The following is a 26,711-nucleotide window of genomic DNA, read 5'->3' on the forward strand; positions in this document are numbered from 1 at the left end:
TTAAAACTAATCACTCAATATCTGATAGCAACAGTATCTATCTCAAAGTCATTAGTATACCTTGGTTATTAAGATAATTCAAATTAGCCCTTCCAGTGAAGTTGACATCATCTTTGCTATTTTTAGAAACTTTGAAACTTAAGAAAATGAGTTGCTTCTTCACTGCTACACTTCCACTTTCTGCACCAAGCCTTGGGCTTGCCCTTAGGCTTTCCTTTTTAGAATGTTCGTTTTCTGTGAAGCAGGCCTTTTCTGTTACTCTCCATGCAATGCGTTAGTTGTGGCTTTAAAGAGAAAAATTAGCTCCCAGTTTCTCCAGAGCTACAAGTTACTCGGTAAGAAAGAGAAGTCAAAAAGTGAAATAGTCTCAGAATTTGGAGTTTCTATATGAATATTCCATAGGTTTCTTAAATATTAGGAAAAGATAAAAAGACAAGCAGCCAGGGGAGGTGAAATTGGTAACAGAATGAGAGGAGCAAAACATGCTAACTTAGTAAATAAAACACTTGAATAACTTTGCCACATCAGAGCAGGTATTTCTATATCTGCATGCTCACGAGTTTTTAGAAAAGGCTAATGAAACTGCTCTCCAGATGGGAGTTGATGTCAAGTCTTATGGCAAGTGACAATGCTTTTGGCATTATCACAATATCATGTCACTTCACCTAAAAGGTGAAGAATCTACAATAACTCTGTTTGCTGAAGATCTTGAAAGTAGGAAGTGAAATCTGAATAGAGATACCCATGGGGCACATCTACTACACCTCTGTAATCTGCAACCAAACCAGAGGCATTCTCTGACAGAAAAATATTTCTTTGGACAAAAATAAATATATAAAGAGAGTTGGGTCATCAGCCTTCTTTTGCCAGAGTGCTGAGAAGAACAAGAAATTTAAATAATCTATATGAAGAATTTAAAATTTCCTTTATATACACAATTTAACTGTGTGCATATAAAATTAACAAAAATGCACTGATATCTAGCAGGTTGTTTAGGGAATGGCTCCTATAATTAGAGAGAAAAACGGCTTGCCAGAACGTGAACACTCTATTACCAATAGCTGCACATAGTCATTGAAGGTTTAAATCAAACACATCTGTGGCCTTTAAAAAAATTTTTTGCCTGCCAGCACCATGGCTACAAGCAGCTATTAAACTGAGATATAATAAATAATCAAAATGTGGATGCTGGAAGTGCTTGACACATTATGAGAAGCAGTGTTCCTATCACAGATATAAAGAAATGGCATGTTCTTGATGTAATGAGAAATCTTACTACTATGTGGAACACAGACACCTCGGAAGTAATTAGCTGGGGATGGTGGCACGTGCCTGTAGTCCCAGCTACTAGGAAGGTTGAGGCGGGAAGATCGCTTGAGCCCAGGAGTTCAAGGCTGCAGTGAGCTGTGATCGTGCCACTGCACTCCAGCCTAGGCAACAGAGCCAGACCTCATCTCAAAAAAAAAGAAAAAAAGAAAAAAAATAATTATTCACAACTGCTTTGCAAAAGTTCATGTTAGAACCACAGATGGCTCAGATGAACAAAGGAAGATATGTGACGACTCTAACTGGAATAAGCTGCAACCAAAAATATGTCCCATACTCAAATGTCAATTATTTTATAGCTATTGATAATGTGTTAGTTCCCTCTACGGATTGTGAATTTCAAAAGAGAACAGGTATCCTTGATGTAGGTCTGTTTTCAGCATAGTATAAGAGGAAGAAAAGTTGCCTAAGTCCAAACATCCAGGAGAAAAGAAGCATGAACAGCAATGGCAATCAGTGATACACTGCAATCATGTGATTTTGATTCAAAAGCAACAGAATCACTAGATTTGTTTGTAAACCACAAAATAACACATCACGTGAAGCTGGAAGCCATTATCCTCACCAAACTAATGCAGGAACAGAAAATCAAACACTGCATGTTCTCACTTGTAAGTGGGAGCTAAACAATGCGAACACATAGACACAGGGAAGAGAACAACACACACTGGGGCCTGTCGGGGTGGGGTTGGGGGAGGGAGAGCATCAGGAAAAATAGCTAATGCATGCTGGGCTTTAATACCTAGGTGATGGGTTGATAGGTGCAGCAAATTACCATGGCACACATTTACCTGTATAACAAACCTGCACATCCTACACATGTACCCCAGAACTTATAATAAAATAAAAATAAGTAGGATAGAGGACAAACTGCTAAATCTAAGATGCATATTTGCAGCACTGCCTAGCATAGTAATAATTTAGAACATCTGGCAGCCCTTTAAAAGTCAACAGACTGCTTTCATCTCTGTTATCTCATCTGATCGTGCTAGGGCTTGGTGGATAGAATTATCTCCATTTTACAGGGGAGAAAACTAAGGCTCCAAGATTTAGTAACTTACTTCAGTCCCATCAAGGGAGAACTGGATCAGATTCCTGATCCAATTGCCAGGAGGCAAACCCTGATCCAATTGCCAGGATCCAATCTTGATCCAATTGCCAGGAGGCAAATATTTCTGCTGTCCCACTGGAATATAGGGCTTTCCTGGCCTGCCCTTCTAGGGTCTGCATTTGCCAGCCCTAGGATGAACACTTATACAGGAGCTATTTCTAAATGTCTAGATAGCCATGTTTATCAGTGCCCCACCATTCACTATGGTAACCCTAGATGCTGAAAATAACCATATTAAGGAAATTAGCCTGTGTACATTCACTCTCGTCATCATCTTGGTTTTGGTGGGTTTTGGCTGGCTTCTTTACTGCAGTCTGTTTTATCAGCAAGATCTTTATGACCTGTATCTTGTGCTGACCTCCTATCTCATCCTGCGACTTAGAATGCCTTAACTGTCTGGGAATGCAGCCCAGTAGGTCTCAGCCTTATTTTACCCAGCTCCTATTCAAGACAAAGTTGTTCTGGTTCACATACCTCTGACAGGGAGGCCTCAGGAAACTTACAATCATGGTGGAAGGCAAACGGGAAGCAGGCACATCTTACATGGCCAGATAATTACACTACAAATTTTAGGGTATAAATAAGATTACTTTAGGAGAGAATATGGAGTAAGAGGGGGCTTTGCTAGAGTCCTGAAAGCTCTAAAGAGAGGCGATATTTAGAGTTCACACAGCTTAGTAACTCAGATCTCTCTGACTCTAAAACTCATTCTTTTTCTAGGATACTATGCTGCCTCTTAAAGAATAGATATTGAATACAATATAATTAAGTTGATATTAATACCAAATGCGAACCTTTGCAAAGGGGAGATAAAGCAAGGGGAATGATTAAGATCACCAGGAAGAGTGTGAAGAGTAAGAAGAGAAGATGGCATAGGGCAGAACCCTATGGAATGTGAACATTTCTAAAGAAAATGAAGAGCTGCCACAGAGGTGGGAGGAGAACCAGCAGGGTGTAGTTCTTGGAAAGAGCTAACAGAATAAAGGGGTTCAAAAAGGAGGGAATAAGGGCCGTGTGTGGTGGCTCATGCCTGTAATCCCAATACTTTGGAAGACTGAGGCGGGTCGATTATGAGGTCAGGAGTTCGAGACCAGCCTGGCCAATATGGTGAAACCCCGTCTCTACTAAAAATATAAAAAATTAGCTGCCTGTGGTGGCGCACGCCTGTAGTCCCAACTGCTTGGGAGACTGAGGCAGGAGAATCGCTTGAACCCGGGAGACGGAGCTGGCAGTGAGCCGAGATCGCGGCACTGCACTCCAGCCTGGGCAACAGAGTGAGATTCCATCTCAAAAAAAAAAAAAAAAAAAAAAGGAATAATGAAACTAAAGTCCTGCAGAGTTGAAATACGGTAATGGCTTAAAAGTATCTATTTGTTTTAGCAACACTGTTGAGAATTCTGTCTGTAAAGGAGAGGTGAGAGAAAGACCACTAGCTTATCTGTGTTTGGTCTGTGTTTGATGAGGGGGCTTGGGGTATGGGGTTAAGAAAGGTGACTTTGGAATGTTTTAGATGAGAGAAATTTTGACAGCCTTTAAGTCCTGATAGTAAAGAGCGAGTTAGCAGAGAGCCGTTGAGGAGTCATGCAACGGAAGGGTTCATCAGAGGAGCTTGACTCTGAGTCGGCAACAGGGAATAGAGATGGAAGAGGGCTGGCTTAGATCAAAGGAGAGTAGTCGTTTATTATTATTATTATTGCAAAAAGAATAGGAGAAAGGATTGGTGAGGGGTACAAGAAAATTAGAAAATTTCATGGCGAAAGTAGAGGCAGTTCCTGTCAGATGAATTCTATTTTGTCTGTGAGGAAACGGGCGACGCTGCCTACTGAGACTAAGCAGGAGAGACGGGGCAAGCTTGGCTCTTCATTTATGCCGCCTACTCATTGCTGGTAGATTCTTTATCTAGCCTGCATCCTCTCATTTTCCTGGATCCCTATACGGCATTTGACGCTGTTTACCACAAGAGCTGTCGAACGAACGTGAAACACTCAGTGATACTCCAACCGGAACTACTACTCCCAGAATGCAGTACGGCTCCTGGGAAGTGCGGGGGGCTGGGAACGCAGCAGGCCTAGCCGTGTCGCCTGCTGCCATTGGAGGAGCGCTCCCACTCCCAAGAGGCCACGCGTAGACGGGGCGCTTCATGCGGAAGTCAGCGGCGTCCGGTCCCAGCCTCCTCTGGGAGCGGGCAGTTGGCGACCCTGCACTGACCCGCGTCCCTCCGTCCCGAGCCCGCGCGCCCTCAGAGGGTGCCCGGACAGGTAAATGGAGTGGGGTGCGCCTGCGGGAGGCGGGGAGAGAACTGCGGAGGGAGGGCGGAGGTGTCGATGGAAAGGTGCTGGGGTGGAGCGAGGAGGCAGTGCAGGGGTGACTTGGGCTTCTCTGGTGTCGACAGTTCCAGTTGTCGGGCAGGACCAGTTTTGGCGAGGTGCGTCTTATGCCACTGGAAAGGCCTCGAGTTAAAGAGTGTCAGAATGCGTCACTTAAGCTGTCATTACAGGAGGGAAAAAATGTTAACTTTCTCTCAGTTTGTATTCTACAAGACCTTTCTGTAGCATTTAAATCTCTTGAGATCGCCAGAGTCTTCTAAAAACTCTCTACGTCCTTGTTCGATGACGTCACTTTCTGCTTCACCTTCTACTTCTGGCTGTTTATGCTCCTTCGTGGGTTCCTAGCCCCTTATTCGCCCTTCCTCCACTGCTCAGTATTGACAGTCCCCTTCTTCCTCTGTTCAGGGACTGTATTTCTGCCTAGACCCGTTTCCTCAGCTTCAGACCTGTTTGGTGTTTTTATTAATGGCCAATGTTTATCAAATTCTGACTGCGTACTTTGGTAAATGCTTTACATCTCCGTCTCCCATAACTCTCACAACCAACCAACTGTCTTCATTTGGCCTCATTAATTGCTTTCAACTACCTGTATCTCCATTATCCCTCCCTTGATCCCAGAGGATACAGTCATGTTTAGGATATTAATTCCCTTTGAATACCTGTGGCTGAGAGCAGATCCATTCATACATTTAACAAATATTTATTGAACGGCTGGTATATGCTTGACACTCTTTTAAGTGCAGGGGATACAGCTGTAAACAAGACTTAGGAGGTTGCTACTCTCAGGAACTTACATGTTTGTGTCTAGAGGGGAAAACAGGAATAATCAGGATTATGTTATATATTGGTTAATGCAAAATAAAACAGGTGGTTGACTTGAAAGGATGGGATCCTATCCTAAGAAAGTCAGAGGTCAGGGCATCGTCCAGAAAGAATAGTTGTAATACCAACAGGAATAATCTTGATCTGTAACATGACTTTTCGTAAACACCTCTTCTTTTCCCCTGTCTAAGCAGTGTTTATTCTTCATTCTTCTATCTCCTCCAAGGTTATTGCATCAGAATTCATGGTTTATCTGTAGTTGGTTTATTCCTTCTAAGACCCAGAGAGAAGAGTGGGGGATTGGATTACTATTAGCTCAACTGCTTTATCTTACTTAGAAAGATAGTTTGGTTGTGAAAATATTATTCTTACCAGGTCCTTCTGAATATAAAGTTATCTACCATTTATAGTATATTTTAAAACCAAAATATGCTCAATGTTCACTCATTTATTCAACAGATATTTGAGGGAATATTAGATGGTAGGCACTGTGCTGAGCACTGGGAAAATAGGGTAAAATAGACACTTTGACCTCTCTTCCAAGGAGAAATAATCCTAACAGTATACTGAGGAAATTTCTAAGGCATAGGCTGACACCTGCATTCCTGTTCTTCATCCGAGGTGAGATCATCACAAAACATTAAGACATTTCCTGAGCAATTGCGGACATTCTTAGATTATTCACTTATTATACTTTATTGCATTTATTTATATCTGTCTTCCCCATTGTTCTATGGCTCCCTCAAGTATAGGAGTCCCTTCTTCCTTAACTTTATACCTCTAGTGTCTACTTTGACTGTCATATAGTAACCCACCAGTATATACGTGTTGAACTGAAATAGACTCCCTATTTGATCAAATTTAAATGACATGATTTATACAAGGCCTTCTTTATGTAAGGCCATCAGCCGTATTCCTCAACCTTCTCATTCACCAAAGGTGGACCATTCCATCTTATCAGGCTAGCTTATGTACCTTCTTTACCTTGCTCTCAGTGCCTTCTCTTCTTCCATCCATCCCTCCTAAAAGGATCTCCCATCTCTTCCCAAGCACCTTGTGTACCTCCCTCCATTAATTTGGTGGGCCAGTTAATTTAATAATCTGCTCATGATACAGGGGTGGAAAAAAATTAATTTCCTTTTTATATTTCCTATGAAACATTCTGCCAATGAACTCTTGCAAGAATTAATGTAATAGATCCTACTGCAATAATATAATGATACAGAATACTTTTTAAAGATTTTGCATTGACTATCACCATGTGCTATGTAATGAGTTAATTCTACTACTTTATTTGAACAGTTGTATAACCTCTGTTCACACAGCATGTTTTGGTATCATTTGGTTTCTACTTGGTAGAAACACATCTTTTTTTTTTTTTTTTTTTTTGAGACGGAGTCTCACTCCGTTGCCTGGGCTGGAGTGCAGCGGCGCGATCTCGGCTCACTGCAACCTCCGCCTCCCAGGTTCAAGCAATTCTCCTGCCTCAGCCCCCTGAGTAGCTGGGATTACAGGTGCACACCACCACGCCTGACTAATTTTTTTTTGTATTTTTAGTAGAGACGGGATTTCACCATTTTTGGTCAGGCTGGTCTCGAACTCCTGACCTCAGGTGATCCACCTCGGCCTCCCAAAGTGCTGGGATTACAGGCATGAGCCACCATGCCCGGCCAAGAAACACATCTTTGAGTATTACTTTCTCAGCCTGAGGTAATTTAAGTGGTAATGTTATTCTGCCACATTGTCATTTTCAGGATGTCAGATAAAAGCCTCAAGTATTAAAATTAAACTTTTTTTTTTCTTTTGAGACAGAGTTTTGCTCTTGTTACCCAGGCTGGAGTGCAATGGCATGATCTTGGCTCACCTCAGCCTCCACTTCCCGGGTTCAAGCGATTCTCCTGCCTCAGCCTCCCAAGTAGCTGGAATTACAGGCGTGCGCCACCACGCCTGGCTAATTTTGTATTTTTAGTAGAAACGGGGTTTCTCCATGTTGGTCAGGCTGGTCTCGAACTCCTGACCTTGGGTGATCCGCCCGCCTCAGCCTCCCAAAGTGCTGGGATTACAGGCATGAACCACTGCGCCCAGCCAAAATTAAAGTCTTATTCCATGCAGGTATCTTTCAATTGTAAATCATTACTGCAAAAGACAAATTTTGTCTTTATAACTGATTAAAAACAACAGCAGTACAAGAGTGCTTGAGTCATGACTGTCGTGAATTTAGGATGTGCCAACCTAAGATCAGCCAGATACTTCTAAGATGTAAACATTAAGCATTGTTATTTTAGGTGATTTATTGACACCTATTTCTTTATAGACAGGAATGCAAGTGCAGCACTGAATTGTGTGCCATTGCTCGTTTATAAGATACACATGTAGATGATCCAGAATATTCTTATACATTTTTCAGTGTTATCAAAATACAAATGCAGAATTAAAAGATTTCTCAAAACACATGGACTTGGCCTTTCCCCTTACTCAGTTACCTGAAACTGTCTTCAGCCTCTACTTGAAGATGCTTCTGCTGAGGAGGAGCATTTTCATCATTGCTGTTCTATGTTATTACCAAATTTTTTAATACAGGCAATTTCTTACTTACAAATGGATATATTCTAAAAGTACTGTTGTAAGCTTATTGTTTGGAACGCTGGATGCATTTCCTTCTATAAATAATGCTATCCATGACATTTACACTGTTATGCCAACCAGTATCATTTTATTAACTTTTAATTTAGTGGACTCGAAGACCTTCCCCACAATTTACAATAATTCCTCTATTAAAAAACTGCATTTATAATTCTCATTTGAATTCCCTTATAGCATATCTTTTTTTAGAAACCCAACAACTAGAACAAAAATATCCTTTCTTTAGTCCCTTAACATAGTAAAAACAGGCTTTTCTAACTCCAAACTGTTGTGGGTGACCCTTCTAGCCCTTAGCTCTAAGGACAGTCCTCCAATATGAGCAAGGAAAACGAAGGGACAGAGGTTTTAGAGAGGGAGGCAAGTTGGGTGATATGAGTATCTGGAAAGGGAAGGGTAGGATTTATTTGGGATGAACAGTGAGTTTCTAAAATGGAAGTTTGCATTGCTTGTCAGCCTTTTGGCTAAGATCAGGTGTAGTATCAGTTTAAAATGGGGGTTTGTTGTGGGTTGAATTGTGTCCTCCAGAAAGCTGTGTTGAAGTCCTAACCCGTGGTACCTGTGAATGGGATCTTATTTAGAAATAGGATCTTTGCAGATGTAATTAAGATGTAATTGAAAATGGGGTCATACTGGAGTAGAGTGGGCCCTTTATCCAATATGACTGGCATCCATATAAAAGAAGAGAGACAGAGAGAATGCAGTGTGAAGACACAGATACAGAGAACACCATGTGACTACAGAGGTAAAGATTGAAGTGCTGCACCTCCAAGCCAAGGAACACCAAGGATTGCCACCAAACTATCAGAAGCTAGAAAGAGATAAGGAAAGATTCTCTTCTACAGGTTTCAGAGGGAGCATAACCCTGCCAACATCTTGATTTTGGACTTTTAACCCTCAGAACTGGTAGGCGATACATTTCTGTTGTTTTAAGCAACCAAGTTTTTGGTACTTTATTACTGCAGCTACAAGAAACTAATACAGGATTCTTAGCAGGAATAAAGTAGAATTGGGATGGTGGCTGTGGGACCAAGTGGGGAGTGAATAGGAGAACAAAGAGGAACAGTGTTGATATGGGGCTTTCCTTTATGTTGCATTATCTTTTTTTCTTCCCTTCTCTCTCTGGCTTATCTTTTCATTCTTTTTCTTCTTGGATCTTATCTTTATATAGCACTTTATGGTTTATTAGGCATTTACATACTGCTAATAATTAGCAGAGCCAGGTTTTCTAACTTCAAGTGCAGTGTTCATTGTGCCACAATTGTTTCTGTTATCCCAATACTCATCAAGACGTTATGGATTCTATTACAAGACACTTACAATGGGGGCAGGTAAGACTTCATAGGTGGGATTTTTAGCAGTATAGCAGAGAGGAAGGAATTCCTATTAGTGACATCTGGAAGGAAAGTAAAGTTTCTGTTGCTATGTACCCACTGTTTAACAGTCATTTTTAAGTTGGGGACTGCTTTTATTGGAAGAAACACTACTTGCGTATAACTTATATTCATTGTTCCTAGTTATATTCTGAATAATGTGCTCCCTGTTCCAGGTGACTGTACTTTATATAAACTCAAAAACTATTGTCATGTTCCCTCTAAGTCCTCTCTTTCTCATGTTACATATCTCTAGTTCCTCCAGCCAGTCTTCAGATGACACAATCTCCATGTCTCTCACCCATATTGTATTGCCTCCCTTTTGTCTAGTCGTTAAATATTCTACCCAGAATTGAATTCAGTATTTTACATATGTTCTAACCAGCACAGAGTGTAATGGGACTAGTACTTAAACAGGTCAAGACACCCTATTTCTTAATGTACTTTGAGATTATGTAAGCATTTTTAAGCAATATCGCATACCGTTGGTTCATAATGAACTTACAGTCCACTGAAACACTAGATCTTTTTGTATTAATTGTTGCCAAGGTCAAGTTTCCTTCTGAACCTGCACAGGGACTGAGGCTGCTGCTACTTTTTCATCTCTCTGTTCCAGGGACCATATGATTTCTTATCTCTGTTTCTCTTTGTGTTTTTGTTCCTCTCTACTGTGTCTCTTTGACCCTAAGCAATGACCTCCTTCCTTGTTATAAAATTTCACTGATTGTTTTACAGTCTTCATTCTCTTTCTTTCCTTTCGGCTTCTGGGCCACCACACTTTTGGCTTTCCCATTTGGTCCTCCTCAGTCTTTGTGAGTCTCTATTTATCTACCTTTCCCTCAACTGTTGGTTGTGCTTTGGGTTTTATCTTTGGCACTATTTTTTTTTTCTGTATGCAATATATCTTCAGCAAATAAATCATGTTTAAAATGGCAGATCTAACTGAGCTCATCTGGGAATAAAAGGGCACAGAATCAGTCCCGGAGGAAAGTCGACATTTAGAGGTCAGGTAGAGGAGGAAGAGTCAGCAAGAAGACAAAAAGAGCAGCCAGAGATGTAGGAGCATTTCAAGAAGGAGGGTCGGTCAGCAGTGTTGACTGTGCCTAAGAGGTCAAGTAAGGTAAGAATAGAGAAGCAACCACTGTATTTTGCAATATAGAGGCTGTTGGTGACCTTAGGAAGCATGGTTTTCTGGAGTTTTAAGGGCAAAAGCTGGATTATAGTAAGTAGAAGAGTTGAAAGGAGGCAGAGGAGCAGAGATAATGCGTAACGATGCTTTGAAGAAACAGAACAGGGCCAGGTACGGTGGCTCATGCCTGTAATCCCAGCACTTTGGGAGGCCAAGGCAGGTGGATCACTTGAGCCCGGGAGTTCAAGACCAGCCTGGGTGACATGGTGAAACCCTGTCTGTACAAAAAAAAATACAAAAATAGCCGGACATGGTGGCACACACCTGTAGTCCCAGATACTCCAGAGGCTGAGGTAGGAGGATCACTTGAGCCTGATAAGTGGAGGCTGTAGTGAGCCAAGATTGTGCCACTGCACTCTAGCCTGGAGCTTGGGTGACAGAGCAAGACCCTGTCTCAAAAAAAAAAAAAAAAGAAAAGAAACAGAACAGTAGGATCCACAGTTAGGGAGGCTTTAGGATCAAGGGAGATAAAGTATAAGACAGCAATTTGGAAACTATAACTTACTGCATATGTGTAAGGAGAATTCTAGAAAGAAGATGGTTGAGATCACAACCCTGGGGAACAACTTCAGTTAGAGAGTAGGAATGAAAAAGAGATCCCCAAAAGGCATTCAGCCCAAGAGACAGATGAGCACCTTCTGCTCTGTGTGCTGTCCTTCCATGCTGGGATTGCAATAAGGAATCTGCACATTCCTTGATCTCAAACAGTTTATAGTTTGCTGTTGTGTTTCACAAAGTATGTTTGTGTGAATCACCTGCATCCAGACAGACTTGTATTAAATACAGATTCCAGGGCCCTACCTCAGGCCTACGGAATCAGAATTTCAGGAAGTGATGCCAAGAGTTTGAATTTTTAGCAAATGACTCATACTCTGCCACACAAGATGATTCGTATTCCCACTACAGTTTGAGAACCACTGGTATGTTGGGTACTGAGCATGTTAACAAATAAGAGTAGGTTTAACAGTTAATCGAAGACTAGACAAGGATTTGTTCATCTCTTTTTATGTTTATGCCATTAAATAAGAGAAGCTGGGCTTGTTAGGTGGGAAATAATAGCACATATTCATAGGCAGACATAAGGAAAATAATCTTAAACTCATGCCATATGGTTTTAGTAATGTTTTGTTTATGAAGGGTCTTACCATTCCTTTCTTGTGGAAGCTTTGAGTTATTTTCACTTTGTTTCTGTTATGGATAATGCCTTTATACTGGCAGTGTACAGTAAAAGGCTAAGATTATGAGCTCTAGAACCATACTGCCTAGGTTTAAATTGCAGCTCCACACTTACTAGCTCTGTAATTTGGGGGAAATTATTTAAGTCATCTGTGCTTCAGTTTTCTCATCTATAATAGAAGTATCATAATAGTGTATAATCTCATTGAGTTGTGAGGATTAAATGGATTAATAATTATAAAGTATTTAAAATGGTACCTGGCACATAGTAAACAATAAATATAGGCTATTTTTATTGTTAATAGTTATCTTTGTGAATCTAGAGTCTTAACTTCTGTTGAACTATTTCTCTAGGATAAATTTTCAGGATGGAATTTCTACATTAAAGAATGAAGACATCTTTATGTCCCTTTGCTATCTATAGTCATTGCTTTTCAAAAGGGTGATATCTGTTTGTGCTATAATAATTTGTAAATGCAAGCTATCAATGGTGTGTGTGTGTGTGTATGTGTTTTGTATGTCTCTTTATATGAATGCATACAAGCATGGCTTAGGTTGTAAGTTTGTAGAAAACTTTGACCTTCTTTTTAAGCCTGCTCTTAAGTCTGTTGTTAAGTTTCATGTTATAGTGCCTCGTTAGATACTATCTCCAGGTAGTATGTTGATAAATGATAGTAAGTTACCTTTGAAAGATTATGTCAAAGAAATATTCTAAATCTGTGTCTTTTTCCTTTTGATAGACTGAAGCCATGGCGATTCTTTTTGCTGTTGTTGCCAGGGGGACCACTATCCTTGCCAAACATGCTTGGTGTGGAGGAAACTTCCTGGAGGTGACAGAGCAGATTCTGGCTAAGATACCTTCTGAAAATAACAAACTAACGTACTCACATGGCAAGTGAGTTCTGTTCTGCATGTGGTAAGGGATGAAAGAAGGGAATTCTGTTACTCTAATCAGAACGGTAGAAAAGTAGAAAACAAGCTTCTAGGTACATAATTTGAATAAGCTGACAGAATAGTAACCTTCACCAACTTAGAAAATATATCTGGTTTTGTTACTTATAAATTTAACTTGTAATTATTTTATTCTATTATTGAAGTGATATTTTATTTTGAAGAAAGATGAAATGTTAAATGTAAAAATGACTTTGCTCTAGAGCTGTGTGATATGTGAAAATAATTCAGATAAGATAGATAATGTTCCTTTGTTCATTCTTTCAGTAAATATTTACTGAGCACTTAACTATTGCCAGGCACTTTGCTTGGTGCTGGGGATATAACAAGATATGTGGTATTTGCCCTCATAAGGGTTATAGTTTAATGAGGGAGAAAGTCAAATCCACGATGTCAAGGGTTGGGGGGATGGGAAGTAGTAGATAGGAGAATGGTATTCCAAGTAGAAGGAACAGCAGGTAGAGAAGTATGGAGGCATGAGATCATAGGGCGGGCATATTTAGGGAACTGCAGACTGTTCTCTGTGACTGGTGCCCAGGATGGTGAAAATAAAGCTAGAGAGATGGGTAGAAGAAAAGTCATGTAGGGCCTTGTAGGCCATATTAAGAGCTTGGACTTTACCTTGTGGGCAGTGGAAAGGCATTGAAGGTTTTCAGCCAGGGTGTGACAGAGTCAGGTTTGTTTTATTTATTTATTTATTTATTTATTTAGAAACAGAGTCTCACTCTGTCACCCAGGCTGGAGTGCAGTGGTGCGATCTTGGCTCACTGCAACCTCCATCTCCCAGGTTCAGATGATTCTCGTGCCTTAGCCTCCTGAGTAGCTGGGATTACAGGCGTGCACCACCATGCCCAGCTAATTTTTGTATTTTTAGTAGAGTTGGGGTTTCACCATGTTGGCCAGGCTTGTCTCAAGCTCCTGACCTCAGGTGATTCGCCTGCCTTGGCCTCCCAAAGCGTTGGGATTACAGGCGTGAGCCACTGCCCCTGGCCCTTCAGTCAGTTTTTGCTTTAGAAAGATCACTCTGGTGGCTTATTAGAGTGGCCATAGTTGGGAAATCTTAGTAATTAGTTTTAAAAAGTGCCTCAACCTTCCCCGTTGGCACTTAAAAATCTTTTCTTACTTAACCCAGCCTTACTTCCTTAGTTCTTATCTCAGAATGAGGTCCTTATTACTTTCTATGGCTAACCCCTTATACAGTTTAAGGTGTACTCTAAGCTACTATGAGAGAGACCCCCAAGATACAGTATTAATTTTAATGAGATAGTCCAGAGATGAGTGGTTTGGGATGTTGGGGTGGCTCTGCCATTTCCAATTCCCTAATTCCCAAAGCAATTAGTGCTTTCCACTTCTGGCCAAGGCAGCTCCTTTGGTGCTTGTTATATCCCAGTGCTTGCCCAGTAATTTTAAAGGCAGGGCCCAGAAGTGGCCTGATATTGTTGAGAAGCTTCCACTTACATCTTACTGTTCACTACACAGTCATGTAGCTAGCATAGCTAGAAGGGAGGCCAGGAATTGTCATCTCTGGCTATGTAGTCGTAGGCTCAACTAAAACTCTGTTACTCTGGAGGAAGTTATAGGATATCAGGGGATGACTTGCAGTCTTCCAGTCTACTCTCCTGGCCACCCAGATATTTCAGTGAACCTTTCTTCCCAAACATAGAATACGCCTCTTCTCTGAGAGAGGTAGCTCCAAAGACCTATCTAGTCACTGTGTTTGGCTCCAAGTCCAGCATGTCTAGGTGGTACACAGTCCTATCCATCAGGCCCTGGTGTGGCTCCTGTGGTCCACTGACCATAAAGTAAAAGATAAGTCATATGTTTTCCCTGCTTTCCCAGCCTAACCCAGTAGACAATGGTGAAATAAGAAAAGGATCATCACAGTGAGAGTTACAAACTCCCATTTGGAAAAGGGAAGAATGAGAAACATGTAGAAGTCATTGCTTTCCAGTAATGATCAAATAATTGCCTCACACAATTTCAAAGACTCCCTATTCTGACCAGGAAGTGGTTAGTGGTTCTGCTTTCTTGGAGGAACTCCCTCACCCTTTTTCCCTGACTCCTGGCTTTGTTCTCCAGGAAGTTTTTCCTTTCTGGCCACATCCAAAATGGTAGTTAGAGAGTATATCATCTTTGGGAATTGTACCCATTTTGTAGTCCTCTTGCTGCCAGCGTAGGTTTGTGGGCCTAGAGGTTAGGGGTTAAATAATCTTAGCTTCTTATGATTTTGGCTTTATACTTTCTCTAAAAATGTATTAGACTTACAGTCTTTGTGTTTCTAGGCAGTTCCTGGGAAAATGTCCAGGGAAAGCACATGTAGTCGTCCTTTTAGAGGCAAGACTGGGAAATAGGGCATATATCTTCCACTCATGTATTATGAGCCAGAATTTAGTCACAGCCATATGTAGCTTTAAGAGAGTATAGAATATGTAATCCAATTAAAATGCAGTTATAGTAGAAGGAGATGTTATCTGTCTGCCATGCCTCTCTGCCTGTGTCTCTGATCTAGCTGTGTTATTTCGAGCTTTGGTACCTTTTTTTCATGCTTTTGTTATCTTCTAGGAATGCTGTTCTCCCCCTAAGCCTCCTTGTAAACTTTTGCTCACTTTACAGGTCCCAAGCGAAATACTTTCTTAATTTGTACTTTAATGCTTCTAAAAGGGCAGTTCTGATCATATTCCTTCCTTCAACAGATACTGTCTGCCCTCAAGGTAAAATTCCTTAACGGGACTTGGAATATTCTTCAAGATCTGCCACTTTTTCCTTCTGTGGGCTCATCTTTTACTACTTTAGTCCTCAGTTTTGCTTTCCAGCCATACTTCATACTTAGCCATTTACAATTCAATGCTAGGTTCTTTCTCTCTTCCTAGCCTTTGCAATAGCTGTTACCTTTTACTGGAATATATTTATCTACTTAATTTTTTAAAAATCTCACTTTGTGTGCCTGAGCTTAGATGTTTCCTTTTCCAGAAACCCCTGAACATTAACACTGAGTCAGGCACCGCAATCAGACACTCTTTTTATGTGTCTACATAGCATCTAGTTTGTTCATATTGTAACACTTTTCACACTGTATTATTATTATTATTATTATTATTATTGAGACGAAGTTTCGCTTTTGTTGCCCAGGCTGGAGTGCAATGGCGCAATCTCAGCTCACCGCAACCTCCACTTCCTGGGTTCAAGTGATTATCCTGCCTCAGCCTCCCGAGTAACTGGGATGACAGGCGTGTGCCACCACGCCTGGCTAATTTTTGTATTTTTAGTAGAGATGGGGTTTCACCATGTTGGCCAGGCAGGTCTCGAACTCCTGACCTCAGGCAATCCGCCCGCCTCGGCCTCCCAAAGTGCTGGGATTACAGGCATGAGCCACCGTGCCTGGCCTCAGACTGTATTATAATTGAAATGATTGTTTATTTCTGTACCCTGACTGTAGGCTTCTTGATGGCAGGGATCATACCTTGTTACCTTTTGTGGCCTGTGCACCAAGTGACTTACAAGTCTGGTTTAGGAGAAACAAATTTTATGGGGAAAGTGATGACTTTCATTCTGGGCATGTCATGTTTAAGCTGTCTATGGTATGTCCAGTTGGATATGTCTAGTAGACAGTAGTGTAGGTAGTCCTGGAGCTCAGGAGATAGGTCAGATGGAGATTTGGGAATCATTGGCATAATTGTGGTAGCTGAAAACAAACTACAACAAAACATGAGAGTGCATGCTGCCCTCCAGGGAGTAAGTAAGTGTGAAAAAAGCAGGAGGCTAAGGAAGCTAGAAAACGTTAGTGTAGAGGGAAAGGGACTATGATATAAACCAGGTATATTAGCCTGCTTGGGCTGCTATAACAAAATACCATAGACTGAGTGGCTTGAACAACAGATACTTGTTTCTCACAGTTCTGGAGACTGCGTGAGGTGCCCGCTAATTCAGTTCTTGATGAGGGCCTTCTTCCTGGCTGGCAGATGGCCACCTTCTTGCTGTGTTCTCAGGTGGTGGAAAGAGAGTGATCTTTTTCTTCCTCTTTTTTAAAGCCACTAATCCCATCACGAGGACCCCACCCTCATGACCTCATCTAATCTTAAGTGCCTCCCAAAGGCCTTGTCTCCAAATATAGTCACACTGTAACATATGAATTTTGAAAGGACACAGTTCAGTCTATAGCACCAGGCAAGCCTGATGTCAAGAAATCTAGTGAAGATAAAACACTTTCCAAAAGGAAGTGGTCAACACTATCATATGTTTCAGAGAGAGCCACTGGATATGGCAATGTGGAAGTCATTGGTGGAAATGGTGCAAATAGTTTTAGAGTATTGGAGGAAAAGATTTTGCCTGAGTTCCTGTATCTCCTTGTAATTCATGTCAGTCCTCTGTGAACATTAATATAATTCAACAGGTACCCCTATCTATCCACTTGCCCAAGGTACAAATGTGGGAGGCAAAATTTAGTTAACCTGTCTCACGCCAGTCACCAAGTTCTATAAATGCTGCCTCCTATCTCTTCTCTGTCCCTTTTTCTTTATTACCCATTCTACTTTAGTTTATTTCCCTCCTCATTTCTTACCCGGTATACTGCAGTAGTCTCCTGTCTGGTCCTCCTTTGAGTCAGTTTTCCGCACTCTAGCCAATGTGTCCTTTGTTTTTTTTTTTTTTTTTTTTTTAATGTGTCCTTTTTAAAGTGCAAATCTGATCACACCCTCCCTAGGCTAAAACTTTTGGATGTTTATTCATTATTCTTAGGATAATGCACAGTGTGGTTTATAAAGTCTTGTATAACCTGGTTTTTGCTTACTTCTCCAGTCTTGTCTGTCCAGATAATTCACTTTTTCTTCACATTCTGTACTCTAGTCATGTGAGCCAATTTTACTTTCCTAAATCTATTAGGTGCTGTTTTACCTCTAGGCCCTTATGCTTGCTGCTTCCTCTCTGGAAAAACTCTTTGCTCACTTTTTTTTGTTGTTGTTGTTTTTTGAAACAAGGTCTCACTTTGTTACCCAGGCTGGAGTGCAGTGGCGCAATCTCAGCTTACTACAGCCTCAACCTCCTGGGTTCCAGCGATCCTCCTGCCTCAGCCTCCCAAGTAGCTGGGACTATAGGCGTGTGCCACCACACCTGGCTAATTTTTGTATTTTGTGTACAGACGGGGTTTTGCCATGTTGCCCAGGCTGGTCTTGAACTCCTGAGCTCAAGCGATCTGCCCGCCTCAGCCTCCCAAAGTGCTAGGATTACAGGCATGAGCCAGCCACCACGCCTGGCCTTTCGCTCACTCTTTACCTTGCCATCTGTTACTTATTCTTCAGGTCTTAAATCAGACATCACTTGTTCTGGGAAGTCTTTCTGGTTACCCTTTGGCAAATCTCCATTTCGTGCCTCATCTATTAATGTGTCCCCAGAGCACCATGTACTGCCTTTAACTTTCCTGTCATCCTGTTTGCCATGCTGCACTGTAATTCCTTACACTGTGATCCCTATGAAGACTGGGACTTGGTGGTTTTGCTTTTTTGTATCCTCAGCATCCAGCACAGTAACTAACTCAAAGTGGATACTCAAATGTTGAGAATTTGGTAGAAAAGATGTTTGCTTTAAGAACTTAGGAAAAAGCAAAGAAAACCATATGGCCTATTGGGGGTTAATCTTAATTACATCCTCCTCCTAAGATGTCATCTCTTGTTCATGCTTTAAGAGTCCAATTATGCTTTTGCAGCTATCGTTCTAATGGGTAATACACATGCTGTTGTGCTATGTAGCTAGAATAGAGATCTTTTTATTTCTTATGTACTTCTATCAGTTTGACTTGAAAGAAACAGGTATATTGGGAAGGGGAAGAGGGAGAAGAGACTGTATCCGTAAGTAATATGGTGACATTGGCAGTACTGAACGTGCTTATACATAGATAGAAGATAGAAGTAAAAGTGATGTTGCTTATAACCACAGTAAGTTTTATATCTTTTATTCTACAGTTATTTGTTTCATTACATCTGCCAAGACAGGATTGTATATCTTTGTATCACTGATGATGTAAGTAACTTGAAGACATATTGCTATTTAACTATGTGTACTGTTAATACAGCCAGTTCTTAATTATCTATACCAGGGGTCCCCAACCCCCAGGCTGCAGACCGGTACAGGTCTGTGGCTTGTTAGGAACCAGGCCACATAGCAGGAGGTGAGTGGCCTATGAGCATTACCACCTGAGTTCTGCCTCCTGTCAGATCAGCAGCAGCATTAGATTCTCATATGAGTGTGAACCCTGTTGTGAACTCTGCATCCGAGGGATCTAAATTGCATGCTCCTTAGGAGAATCTAATGCCTGATGATCTGAGGTGGAACAGTTTAATCCCGAAACCATTCACCCTCCCCCAGTCCTTGGAAAAATTGTCTTCTACAAAACCGGTCCCTGGTGCCAAAAAGGTTGGGGACTGCTGATCTGTACCTATAGTGGGCAAACGTGATGCGAACTTTACATAGCTGGAATTGTTAATATTTTGCATTTGTCATATAGAGCAGCAAATGTTAAGAAAACTTGATACTGGGGTATGTGCAAATCAACTCAATTTTGGTAGAGTTTTAGCTTAGCCTCTTGCAACTTCTATATTTATTCTATTTTGTAGTGAGAATTGATGTTCATAATTATAATTCTTTGATATCAAAACCTCTCAAAAATTGTTTACGTGGAATGTTAAATTAGATAGCATCATTTCTTCTATCAGTAGTTAATGAATCCTTTAATGTATGTGAACTTTGGAAAAACAAAATTACAATACATTATGATCAGCTATATAAACCTGTAGTTTACATTGGTTAGGTATGACTGTTTGTCGGCTCTCAGCCCAAAATTCTCAGTAACTTAATGATGTCATTAAGGTCCTTTCTCTTCTCTGCTTATCTCCGTGTCTCCTTCTTCCCAGACAGGTTGCCATTATGGTTTCGTAGAGCTACATACTTATTTATTCATGTCCGGAGTAGAGGGACTGTGTCTTCTTGAGTGTCTTATTGTAGGAATGAGGAAGCTTTTCCCAGCTGCATGCCCTCCCCTCCCCCTGCTTTCAAAGTGAACTTCCTTTCATGTCTTATTGGCTGCATGCTCATTTCTAAACTGCCTACTGGCAAAGAGACTTGGAATTGGCATGGTTGCCATAGATCAGGGTTCCTAATCTTTATTGTATCACAGACTCGTCACTTGTGGGACACTCCCAGAATGTTTTTGTTTTCTTTTTTTAATTTTCCTTTTCCAGAATGCTTTTAAATGTATAAAACACACACAATTCTAACAAAGCCAATTATATTGAAATATATATATATATAGTATTCAAAATATTTTAAAAACTTGATGTAGTAATATATATGCTTCTTTATGAACTCATTAACAAGATCTAGTCATAGGTCTAATAACTAATAGTCTTGATGTGATGGGTGTTGACAGTATTTTGAGATATCTGTAACTGTGATGGTATACAAAAAAAGATTTCTGTTGGTGACAGTTACAGGTACTGTTTAATACTACCCCGATTATGAATATACAACCTATATTCACAATTGAAATATAAGTTAACGATTGATAAAAATAATGATGTGATTTTCTTTTTTTCTATCCAAGTTCAAAGGCCCCTTGAATTTGGACCATTGACCCCAATTTAAGAACCCTTGGCTTAGACTAAGCATCTTGGGTGAAAGGGAAATGACTGTCAACCATAGTGATCATCACAATGATTTTTATCTCTGGCTTCACAATATTTTCCAAAAGTACGAAAAAATCTAGCTATATGTGAAATGACTGATGTGAAACAGCTTGGAATAGAAGGAAAATACTAATGAAATCTGGGATAGTTAGAGTCGAGCCTCATATTTCTTGAGCTATAATTTGATACACACATATACATGTATACATAAACACACATACACACATTCATTTTTTTCCTCTAAGGTATTCTTACAGAGAACACACATACTTTTTGGCTGGCTGGGATTAGACATGAGTATGTCACTTGATCTTTTCAAATATACCACCACTATTGAAAAAATTCGATTTGAAGTTAATATCAGTAGTAGTATCTGTATGTGTGAAAGACTCTATGATTATTATGGGATTTATTAAACATATTCTTGTGCTGGGCCTTCTAATAGATCTTATGAAATATATGGAGGAAGTAAAATTCAATTCCTGATGTCAAGAAGTTGATAACCTAGGTATCATTATCTTCAGTTGTCAATGACCAGATATATCTGGATTCATTCTCAGCTCTTTCATTTACTAGTTGTTGGACCTTTGGACAAGTTAGTTACTTTTTCAGAGCCTTCCTTTACTTATCTTTAAGATAGGATCAATGCTAGTTCCTCCTCAGATAATCATTGCTCAGTAAATGTTAGCTGTTTTTTATTGTTGTTCTTAATCACTCACATCATCTTTGTTTACTTTCTAAATGTGAGTTCTGTGTTGATCTCTTTTCAGGATTTTGAACGTTCCCGAGCCTTTAATTTTCTGAATGAGATAAAGAAGAGGTTCCAGACTACTTACGGTTCAAGAGCACAGACAGCACTTCCATATGCCATGAATAGCGAGTTCTCAAGTGTCTTAGCTGCACAGCTGGTAAGATCTTTCTCAGGATAAGGTATTTTGATTTATATCTTCTTCATTACCTTCAAACACTATGAATCTAGGGGGCCCTGACCTGCAATATAGTTTTCTGATTGTGTTACTGTAAGCCAACATAATAAAACTTCCCTGATTAAAAAAAAAATGTAAAGGGGCCATTTTAGGGTAGAAAACAGTGATAGTCTTTATTATCTCTATTAATAGTGGTCACAGTGTCTCATGATTGGAAGAGCATTAAAGATCATCTAGTTGAACTACCCATCTGATGCTTAAATGTGTTCAGCATGCCAAATGATCTTTTAAACTATACGTAAACCTTCTACCCTTCCATGAGGGAAATTTAATTTTCTAACAACCCAAATTAATAATTTGAAACTCTCCTCATCTGTATGAATCCCTAATTGTCAGCTTAGTGAGGTTTTACATGTGAATATACCTGTGAAATACCACTGTACTTAAGACAGCATTTTAATCACCCTAAAAGTTCCCTCATATCCCTTACCAGTTGGTCCCCTCCCCTACACTTTGCCCCAGGCAACCACGGATCTGTTTTCTATCACTATAAATTAGTTTTGTCTTTCATAGAACTTTCTGTAAATAGAATCATACAGTATGTAAACTTTCTGTAAATGGAATCATACAGTATGTACTTTTTTGTGTCTTGCTTGTTTCAGTCAGTGTAAGGCTCTTGATATTCTTCCATGTTGTATAAATCAGTAGTTTGTTCCCCTTTTTGCTAAGTAGTAGTATATGCATATACCACAATTTGTTTATCCATCCACCTGTTGCTGGATATTTGGGTTGCTTCCAGTTTTCAGCTATCATGAATAAAGCTGCTGTTAACCTCCATGTATAAGTCTTTGTGTGGACATATGTTTTTATTTCTCTCTGATAAATACCTAGGAATGGAATTGCTGGGTCATATGGTAGGTGATGTGTAATTGAAAAAAAAAAATCACCACTTTTTTTTCCAAAGTGGTTGTACCATTTTATATTCTCACCAGCAGTTCCAGTGTCTCTGCGTCCTTGCCAGTACTTGATGTGGTCTTAAGTTTTGCCATTCCAGTTGATGTGTAATGGTATCTCATTGTGGTTTTAATTTATGTTTTCATGATGTCAGACACCTTTCGAAATGCTTCCCTTTTATCCATGAAACTATTTGAGTATAAAGACGTAAGCTCTAGCTATGATTTTGTTGTGAGTTTAAAAAAAAGCTGTATTGTAATGGAATACTTTCACTTCTCCTGTGGTTTTAATACTCTGAGTATTACATTTCTAAATTTTATGCACACACACACACACGCACACACATACTCTTCTGGCAATAAAGTCCCTTTAAATTGGTTACTTATAAACCTTTATTATTCAAGCAGTTGGTTTGTTTCATACTCCCCACTAGGAAATGTTCATCTGTGTAAAACTGTGTAAAACACTACCCACAACAAAAATACCAGTACTTAGTCAAAAGTAAAGGGTCAGCTAGAAACAAAACTTTCAAATTAACCAATTTGTCATTAGCTCTAGATCTGTGTGACCTTCTGAACAAAATCTCTACCTGTTCCTTTGTCTGTAAATAGAGATAATAGCATCGTTTCATAGAGTTTTGGGGTGGATTAAATAATATCCCGTTTGAAGCACTTAACACAATGAAATGACTGGAACATTGTGTATTAAGCACCCCATAATTGCTAGCTATGGATAAATAATTTCAAACTATATATTATCAGTGTCTTAGATTCTAGATCCTGTGAGAAGCCAATAAAAATAGTTTATATGCTGTGATCCTGGCAGATACAAGAACAGATTCTGAGAAGCTGGGCCAGCCCCTACCTCATCATACTCAAGAAGTGGGGAACAATTTTGCAGCATTCTTTCCCCCACTGCCCCAACTACAGTCTTCTTTTTCTCCTTTCTTCCTTGTCTGAGCACAGATTATATATCCCCCCCAATCTCTGCCCCACAAGTCACATGTATATTTGATATAATGTTTATTTTTATTTTATTTAAAATAAGGTAATTTTTAGACTACATACTTATAGTTTGTATAGAAGCATTTTTTATGCTGCCCATATTTTTTCCTGGGTATTGTAACATTTTTCCAGTGAAGTGACATGTATCTTTTATATCAATAGAGACATAATTTTATAGCATTCCTCAGTGTAAATTGTCATTCCCCTTATTTTTGTTTTCCTATTGTAAATAATGTCTAGGTACCATAAGTTAAAACTTATTTTCTTATAGAAGCATCACTCTGAGAATAAGGGCCTAGACAAAGTGATGGAGACTCAAGCCCAAGTGGATGAACTGAAAGGAATCATGGTCAGAAACATAGGTATGTTTCATGGCATAGTTTCATGCATGTGGGCAAAAATGATAAAGATTACTTGACTGGGGTCAAATTATTCTAGAGAAGCCAAAATAGCACTTCCTTATTCTTACCATTGGAAGTTAATTGTCAGCTGAGACAACTGTGATACTGTCTGCTTGTGCAAATGGTTTCTTCTTTGTCCTTGCAACTATTCTTCATTCTAAATTTACTAGTTTGCTTAACAAGACTAATTTCTAAGAACCTTATGATAATTCAGCAGTTTAGAATAATTTGGTCAGTGTGATTGTACAGTATTTCACTGAGTTAATGTATCACGGGTTACCTAACCTTGCCTGAATTTTGGACGCATAGGTTCTTTAGCACAGTGTTAGAGTGCTGTTTTGCAACCAGATAAGGAGCTTGCTGAAGAATGTCAATCAATATTGTGCTTCCTTCACTGAGGCCCTCTTGCTATGAAAATGTCAATTGGACTGAACAGTATGCTTAGAGACTTAGTCAACCAGTTGCAAATACTCTTAAGTAGGACTGATTTAGAAGTTTATCCTACAGTAGTAACCATACTGTTATATTTTTGTGCCTATTATGTTTTTCTTATTTTCTTGAGATTAATTATCAGGAATGGGATTAATAATCAAAATGCGCAAACGTTTTCGTGGTTCTTGATATGTACGTCTTGGCTATTTAAAGTGATTTCCTTTAATTGATTTTAGTTTTAATTATATATCTAGATAGAGACTAGAGAATCTGTTGAGACAACTACTATTTATTTTTATTCTTTTTTTTGTCACCAAATGTATTTATTTTGCCCGAAAGTGGAGGCAGACAATTGCTACAATATTATTTATTGCAGATGCATAAAGTTTCCAGAAAAATCAACGTTTTTAATCGACTCCTTTTAAATGACTTATTTATTTTTAGAGTTATAGAAACAGCAAATTTAATCCATCTTGAATTAATTTTTGTATAAGGTATAAGGAAGGGATCCAGTTTCAGCTTTCTACATATGGCTAGCCAGTTTTCCCAGCACCATTTATTAAATAGGGAATCCTTTCCCCATTGCTTGTTTTTCTTAGGTTTGTCAAAGATCAGATGGTTGTAGATATGTGGCGTTATTTCTGAGGGCTCTGTTCTGTTCCATTGATCTATATCTCTGTTTTGGTACCAGTACCATGCTGTTTTGGTTACTATAGCCTTGTAGTATAGTTTGAAGTCAGGTAGCATGATGCCTCCAGCTTTGTTCTTTTGGCATAGGATGGACTTGGTGATGCGGGCTCTTTTTTGGTTCCATATGAACTTTAAAGTAGTTTCTTCCAATTCTGTGAAGAAAGTCATTGGTAGCTTGATGGGGATGGCATTGAATCTATAAATTACCTTGGGCAGTATGGCCATTTTCATGATATTGATTCTTCCTACCCATGAACATGGAATGTTCTTCCATTTCTTTGTATCCTCTTTTATTTCACTGAGCAGTGGTTTGTAGTTCTCCTTGAAGTGGTCCTTCACATCCCTTGTAAGTTGGATTCCTAGGTATTTTATTCTCTTTGAAGCAACTGTGAATGGGAGTTCACTCATGATTTGACTCTCTGTCCGTTATTGGTGTATAAGAATGCTTGTGATTTTTGTACATTGATTTTGTATCCTGAGACTTTGCTGAAGTTGCTTATCAGCTTAAGGGGATTTTGGGCTGAGACAATGGGGTTTTCTAGATATACAATCATGTCATCTGCAAATAGGGACAATTTGACTTCCTCTTTTCCTAATTGAATACCCTTTATTTCCTTCTCCTGCCTGATTGCCCTGGCCAGAACTTCCAACACTATGTTGAATAGGAGTGGTGAGAGAGGGCATCCCTGTCTTGTGCCAGTTTTCAAAGGGAATGCTTCCAGTTTTTGCCCATTCAGTATGATATTGGCTGTGGGTTTGTCATAGATAGCTCTTATTATTTTGAGATACATCCCATCAATACCTAATTTATTGAGAGTTTTTAGCATGAAGGGTTGTTGAATTTTGTCAAAGGCCTTTTCTGCATCTATTGAGATAATCATGTGGTTTTTGTCTTTGGTTCCGTTTATATGCTGGATTACATTTATTGATTTGCGTATACTGAACCAGCCTTGCATCCCAGGGATGAAGCCCACTTGATCATGGTGGATAAGCTTTTTGATGTGCTGCTGGATTCGGTTTGCCAGTATTTTATTGAGGATTTTTGCATCAATGTTCATCAAGGATATTGGTCTAAAATTCTCTTTTTTGGTTGTGTCTCTGCCCGGCTTTGGTATCAGGATGATGCTGGCTTCATAAAATGAGTTAGGGAGGACTCCCTCTTTTTCTATTGATTGGAATAGTTTCAGAAGGAATGGTACCAGTTCCTCCTTGTACCTCTGGTAGAATTCTGCTGTGAATCCATCTGGTCCTGGACTCTTTTCGGTTGGTAAGCTATTGATTATTGCCACAATTTCAGAGCCTGTTATTGGTCTATTCAGAGATTCAACTTCTTCCTGGTTTAGTCTTGGGAGGGTGTATGTGTCGAGGAATTTATCCATTTCTTCTAGATTTTCTAGTTTATTTGCGTAGAGGTGTTTGTAGTATTCTCTGATTGTAGTTTGTATTTCTGTGGGATCGGTGGTGATATCCCCTTTATCATTTAGACCTAAAACCATAAAAACCGTAGAAGAAAACCTAGGCATTACCATTCAGGACATAGGCATGGGCAAGGACTTCATGTCTAAAACACCAAAAGCAATGGCAACAAAAGCCAAAATTGACAAATGCGATCTAATTAAACTAAAGAGCTTCTGCACAGCAAAAGAAACTACTATCAGAGTGAACAGACAACCTACAAAATAGGAGAAAATTTTCACAACCTACTCATCTGACAAA

General features: G+C 39.7%; 1 protein-coding gene across 7 annotated transcripts in view; it reads left to right on the top strand.

Annotated features, from left to right (window-relative positions):
- Window positions 4,592–26,711, top strand: part of VAMP7 (vesicle associated membrane protein 7) — a 62,425-nt gene continuing 40,305 nt past the window's right edge. For 2 of the 7 annotated variants that reach the window (XM_017030063.2, XM_011545653.2), the window contains exons 1-5: window positions 4,592–4,695; window positions 12,705–12,880; window positions 18,870–18,927; window positions 21,359–21,496; window positions 23,744–23,834. In XM_017030063.2, the coding sequence (XP_016885552.1) occupies window positions 12,876–12,880; window positions 18,870–18,927; window positions 21,359–21,496; window positions 23,744–23,834 (292 nt within the window). In that variant the 5' untranslated portion in view covers window positions 4,592–4,695; window positions 12,705–12,875. The remainder of the gene's footprint in view (window positions 4,696–12,704; window positions 12,881–18,869; window positions 18,928–21,358; window positions 21,497–23,743; window positions 23,835–26,711) is intronic. The other 5 variants (NM_005638.6, NM_001185183.2, NR_033715.2 and 2 more) reach the window with 4 other exon arrangements.

The sequence above is a fragment of the Homo sapiens genome, chromosome Y (genome assembly GCF_000001405.40).
Source record: "Homo sapiens chromosome Y, GRCh38.p14 Primary Assembly".
Taxonomy (NCBI): Eukaryota; Metazoa; Chordata; class Mammalia; order Primates; family Hominidae; genus Homo; species Homo sapiens.